General features: G+C 46.1%; 2 annotated features.

The window, feature by feature from the left end:
- Window positions 3619–3758: an enhancer, noted in NCBI's record as "active region_2792". NCBI's record gives its function as "activates an Ori minimal core promoter by ATAC-STARR-seq in GM12878 lymphoblastoid cells {active_cell/tissue: GM12878}" and the evidence as "EXISTENCE:reporter gene assay evidence [ECO:0000049][PMID:35858748]".
- Window positions 4379–4548: a silencer, noted in NCBI's record as "silent region_1984". NCBI's record gives its function as "represses an Ori minimal core promoter by ATAC-STARR-seq in GM12878 lymphoblastoid cells {active_cell/tissue: GM12878}" and the evidence as "EXISTENCE:reporter gene assay evidence [ECO:0000049][PMID:35858748]".

Here is a 6073-nt window from a genome sequence, read left to right as displayed (position 1 = left end):
TATATTAATAGTAAAAGTAATGCTTTGGAGAGGGTGGAAGGGGGTATGCCCTAGCCTCCACAGCTCCTGCCACAAACTGCCCAGATAAGCAGGACCTGAGTGTGTTGAAAGGCTGAGTTGAAGAGCAGATTGACACAGGAGGGCTGGAATGAACGTTGGCTAGAGCAGGTGTGTCCAATCTTTTGGTTTCCCTGGGCCACACTGGAAGAAGAAAATTGTCTTCAGCCACACATAAAATACACTAACACTAACAATAGCTGATGAGCTAAAAAAAAAAAAAAAAAAAAATCATGGTGTTTTAAGAAAGCTTATAAGTTTGTGTTGGGCCACATTCAAAGCTGCCCTGGACCACAGGTTGGACAAGCTTGGGCTAGAGCCAGAGGCCATGGGAGACAGGATGCAGGGCAGGGAGTAGGGCCTCTGCCAGAACTCCTTAAGCCAGGTGCCATGCTCACCTGTAATCCCAGCACTTTGGGTAGGCCAAGGGGTGGGAGGATCACCTGAGGCTAGGAGTTCCAGAACTTGTCTGTTTTGTTAGTCTCTATTGCCCAGGCTGGAATGCCTCTCAGGTTCAAGCAATTCTCATGCCTCAGCCTCCCAAGCAGCTGTGGTTACAGGCATGCGCCACCACACCCAGCTAATTTTTGCATTTTTCATAGAGACGGGTTTCGCCATGTTGGCCAGGCTGGTCTCGAACTCCTGGCCTCAAGTAATCCACCCTCCTCGGCCTTTTAAAGTGTTGGGATTACAGGCGTGAGCCACCCTGCCTGGTCAGAAGACCCCGTCTCAACAAAAATGTGAAAAAATTGGCTGGATGTAGAGCACACCTGTAGTCATAGCTACTCACGAGGCTGAGGTGGGAGGATCGCTTGGGCCCAGGACTTCGAGGCTGCAGTGAGGCGTGATGGCACTGCTATACTCTAGCCTGGGCAACAGAGTGAGACCCTGTCTCATAAAGAGAAAAGACAAATTTGCTCCTCTTTTAGCTCAGCCAAGAGATGCTGTTTTATCTAGAAGCTTCCCCTGGTGTCTCCATTCTTCCTGGGTGATTTCTCCCTCTCTGCTTTCAGCAGCCACCTGTAGCTGATGACTTCCTCCTGTCCCACTTCTTTCCAGCCTCACTGCCACTATTTTAGGTAACCCAGAGTTATTGCAGGTCCCATCGCCAATCCACACAGCTGCCTGAGGAATTGATCTGAAACATCATGTCCCTCGTATGGCATCCGAGGCCCTCATAATCTGGCCTGATTAACTCCGATCTCACCTCATGTGCCATCCTTCCCCCAAATGTGCCTTCCTCTTCAGCTGTCCTCCTGCGGGGCTCCCTATGCCTTGGGCAACTGTGCTTACCACCCCAGATAGCTGGATGAACAAAATAGTCCCTGATTTTACCATCTCATTGAGAGAGTCTTAATGTAGCCGGCCCAGGTCCAGGGTTCTGTGCCCCATGTTGATGATGCTGGTATCTCCATTCCTGGGATATTCCTATGGCATTTACCAATGTCTACTGTCACTTCCTGGTGACTTGTCCATCTTTCCTACCAGACAGCTCCCAAGGCATGTCTTACTGACCATCGGATTCCCCAGCATAGAGCATAGTTAAATGCCTAGTAAATAATGAATGGAAATCCAAATGAACAGAAATGGGATTTTTCACCACAAAATTTAAAAGATTCTTTGGGATTACACATGCCAGGTAAGTGGAAGGAAAGAAACATTGTGAGGAGTAATCTATTTTAAAACCCACTTAACTCACTTGGTTATTAGAAATAGTGTAAGTTTGAGAACAGGAGAAGGGAAGGGATCTATTTAGCTTTCTGCATATTTCTTGATAGCCTCCTAACCTAACAACAAAATGCCAAAAAAAAGCAAACCTGGCAGCCATTGAAGAGCATTCATAAAGGTTTTTGTTTTGTTTTTTTGAGACAGTCTGCTCTGTCGCCCAGGCTGGAGTGCAGTGGCACAACCTTGGCTCACTGCAGCCTCCTCCTCCCGGGTTCAAGCGATTCTCCTGCTTCAGCCTCCCGAGTAGCTGGGATTACAGGTGTGCACCTCCATGCCTGGTTAATTTTTTGTGTGTTTTTAGTAGAGATGAGGTTTCACCATGTTGGACAGGCTGCTTTCAAACTAAAAAAAAAAAAAAAAAAAATTCTGAGATGGCCTTTTAGAAAAAACCCAAAAACATAATTAAGAGTCATTTTGAACCACCCTTTCATGGAAACTTGCCAAATACAGGGATGACTTAGGTGTCATTATAGTTCAACATTTAAGGGTGCTCTGTGGCCCCGTCTATACCCTGCTTTTCCCAAACCTTTTTAAAAGACAGGATTGTTTTGTTTCTTAGCTTTCCCTTGAGCTAGATGAACTACAGATCAGCAGTCCAGGTAGGCAGCTTATTCAGAACTTTGACGACTTGGAATTTAGTCTACTTTCACAGGTGACAGATTTTTAAAATTCACTTATATTCAGAAAAAGAGGCCAGGCACAGTGGCTCATGCCTTTAATCCCAGCACTTTGGGAGGCTAAAGTGGGCGGATCACCTGACGTCAGGAGTTTGAGACCAGCCTGTCCAACATGGTGAAACCCCGTCTCTACTAATAATACAAAAATTAGCTGGGCGTGGTGGTACATGCCTGTAATCCCAGTTACTTGGGAAGCTGAGGCAGGAGAACTGTTTGAACCTGGGAGTTGGAGGTTGCAGTGAGCCATTGCACTCCAGCCTGGGCGACAAGAGTGAAACTCTCTCCAACAAAACAATACAAAAAAAAAAAAAAAAAAAAAAAGGATGCTGGCTAAAATAACCATGTCTTTACCAAATGTTGGATGGCAGAAGACAAGACTTTCCAAATCTTTAGCTACTCAGATACTGTTAGACATTCTTAGCTCAATTTAAACACTGTCACTAAATAAAAAAATTTAGGAGTGACTAGTGTGAATAATAGCTATTGTGGCTTGAATTCTGACTCATTTGCTGACTGACTTTGGGTAATTAATTACTTGGTTATTTGATTACTTAGAGCTTTTTTATTTGGAGAGGGAGTTTTGCCCTGTCGCCCAGTCTGGAGTGCAGTGGTGCGATCTTGGCTCACTGCAACATCAGCCTCCCAGCTTCAAGCAATTCTCCTGTCTCAGCCTCCCGAGTGGCTGCGACTACAGGCATGTGCCACCATGTACAAATACATTTTTGTATTTTTAGTAGAGACAGGGTTTCACCATGTTGGTGAGGCTGGCTTTGAACTCACAACCTCAAGTGATCGGCCCTTCTTGGCCTCCCAAAGTGCTGGGATTACAGGCTTGAGCCACTGCGCCTGGCTTTTTTTTTTTTTTTTTTTTTTTTAACTGTTTTTCACTGCTGTATCCTCAGTACACAGAATGGTTTGTAACACGAGACAGACACCTCAGTAAAAGCCAGATGAGGGCTAGTATTAGTAAAACCTGTCAGACTGTTGCATTTGAAAAACGAAACAAAAACGTTGGTTCCAGGGCACTAACCACCATGAAATACAGTAAGTGTACATCTCGGTTATAGTTTACTCCCTACCCACAGCCTTCCTCTCCCACAGCGGAGAAACAATAGTGAATTAGTTTCTTTCTCAGAGAGACTTGAGGTATGTGATGAAAGACAAGTCCAAGAAACAGTGAAGCCAGCTTTGCAGACATCAGCCCTAGAACCAATGGTATTATTTCCCAGTGCAAATGATAATTACTCCGACCTACTCATCAAGACAAGAAAAAGCATCTCTGATCAATTTTCAAAAGAGGCTGGGTTGGTGTAATTATAGTTAATAATACCCATCTACGGAGCTGTTGCCCCTGACACACACACCCTTGAGTTGTCAGCCTCAGACTTCCATTTCTAGCACCTGTAAGCTGGTCAAGTTGTGTGCACTGTAATGTGTCACCATGAAACGAAAGAGAAGTACCAGGTGAGCTCTCTCTCTCTCTGTGTATATACGTGTGTGTGTGTGTGTGTGTGTGTGTGTGTGTGTGTGTGTGTGTGTGTACGCCTTGCCTGAAAATGATTTAAAGCTACTAACCGGGCCCCATGGAAATTCAGTCTCATTGCATAGGGCTCCAGGCAACTGAGTTACTGGACACTACACCAGGTCTTGGGTTTTTTGAGATAAAAAATCAGCAAAGTATGTGTAAAGTAACATTTCTTACAAAAATAGATTTCTCTCTTCTCTCAACATGGCATCAGTTTTTTCAATATATTGGCAAAGTGGATCCATCCACGGTTCTGGGTCCTGGCTGTGCGTCCGATCGCCTTTGTCAGCTGGGGGAAGACTCAGGGTGACTTGAGCCAGGAGGACCGCGGAGTGGACAGCCGGTACCGCGCGCTCCCCTTTCCCTTGTTCTAAACTGGGCTGGAGAAGTTCATAGGATTTGCTCCGTCTGTACCGCGTGCGCTGTGAGCGTTTTCATCAGGGCAGCAGCAGACGCGAAGGAGCGCGCTGGCGCCCTCTGGCGGCGATCCTAGGGTGCGTCCGCGCCGTGCCTACCCCCCGGCCTCCGGGAGCCTCGAGCCCCAGCGCGACTGTGATTCTGCCAATTACAGCGATCATCATAGCGAAATGAAAATGCTCCGATTATTTGTTTATAAATAAAACCGTTCCTCCTGGAAAATGTGCCAGGATGACATTTTGTGAAGTCCTGTTTCCAGTCTTCGTGAATTAAAATTCTAGATGGGAAACTACCAGACAGGAGAAGATAATTGAAAAGGATAGTTGAAAGGACTTCTGACTTGTCCAAGAAGAGACGCAATTCCAGGTTAATCTTCAGAGTGAGTCAAAGCAACGTAAGTATGATCTTTTTCTACGAAAGGCAAAGAATAAAATGTGGCAGAGGGTTTCTACAACTCCTTACCTTCCCAGTTCTGTAGAATCACCCTACAAAAATAGAGGGGCAGCTGTGGGGTGGCGGAACGAACACGGTTTTTAGAAGCAGGGGCTTGGGTTTGAGTTCTAAATGTGCAGCGTACTGGGGCACTTAACTTCTCTGAGGCTTAGGTGCCTCATTTCCAAAGGGCATGAGAATATCTTCTTTTTTTTTTTTTTTCCTTTTTTTGAGACGGAATCTCGCTCTGTCGCCCAGGCTGGAGTGCAGTGGCGCGATCTCGGCTCACTGCAGCCTCCGCCTCCTGGGTTCCAGGGATTCTTGTGTCTCAGCCTCCCAAGTAGTTGGGACTACAGGCACGAGCCACCACGCCCAGCTAATTTTTGTATTTCTAGTAGAGACTGGGTTTCACCTGGGGTGGGGGGAGGGGGGAGGGATAGCATAGGAGATATACCTAATGTAAATGACGAGTTAATGGGTGCAGCACACCAACACGGCACATGTATACATATGTAACAAACCTGCACGTTGTGCACATGTACCCTAGAACTTAAAGTATAATTAAAAAAAAAAAAAAGGCACACCTGAAATGCCAGCTGCTCCTCTGAGACAGGCGGCTCCCTCAGCCAGCTCAGCTGTTCTAGCAAAAAGGCGTTTGATTCTGGGCCAAGCCCAGAATAGGGATTGTCTCCTCATACTATGCCTCTGGCTTCCTGGAGTACAGATTTATGGCTTCTGAATGTGGGAGGAGAAAAAAAAATCCTTAAATCTAAGTCAAAAGCCTGCTAGAACTACTCTCTACAGCTAAACAGAAATGAGCTACAAACTCCTGTCGTGCGGCTTAAATGGAGAAACTTGTGAAGGGATCTGGTTTTGGGTTACTGACATGCTTGAAGGTGCTCATGAGTGGTGGTTTTCCTGTCTTCAAAGTAAATTTTAGGAACAATAAGTTCACTTTGATCATTATCTCTAGGTTATGGGGTTATGGATGGATTTTTTTTTTTTTTTTTTTTGAGATGGAGTCTCACCCTGTCGCCCAGGCTGGAGTGCAGTGGCGTGATCTCAGCTCACTGCAACCTCTGCCTCCCAGGTTCAAGTGATTCTCCTGCCTCAGCCTCCCCAGTAGCTGGGACTACAGGTGCCTGCCACCACGCCTGGCTAATTTTTGTATTTAGTAGAGACGAGGTTTCACCATATTGGCCAGGCTGGTCTCAAACTCCTGACCTCAGGTGATCCG

This window comes from Homo sapiens, chromosome 1 (assembly GCF_000001405.40).
Source record: "Homo sapiens chromosome 1, GRCh38.p14 Primary Assembly".
Lineage (NCBI taxonomy): Eukaryota > Metazoa > Chordata > Mammalia > Primates > Hominidae > Homo > Homo sapiens.
This window is presented reverse-complemented; position numbering and strand designations above follow the sequence as displayed.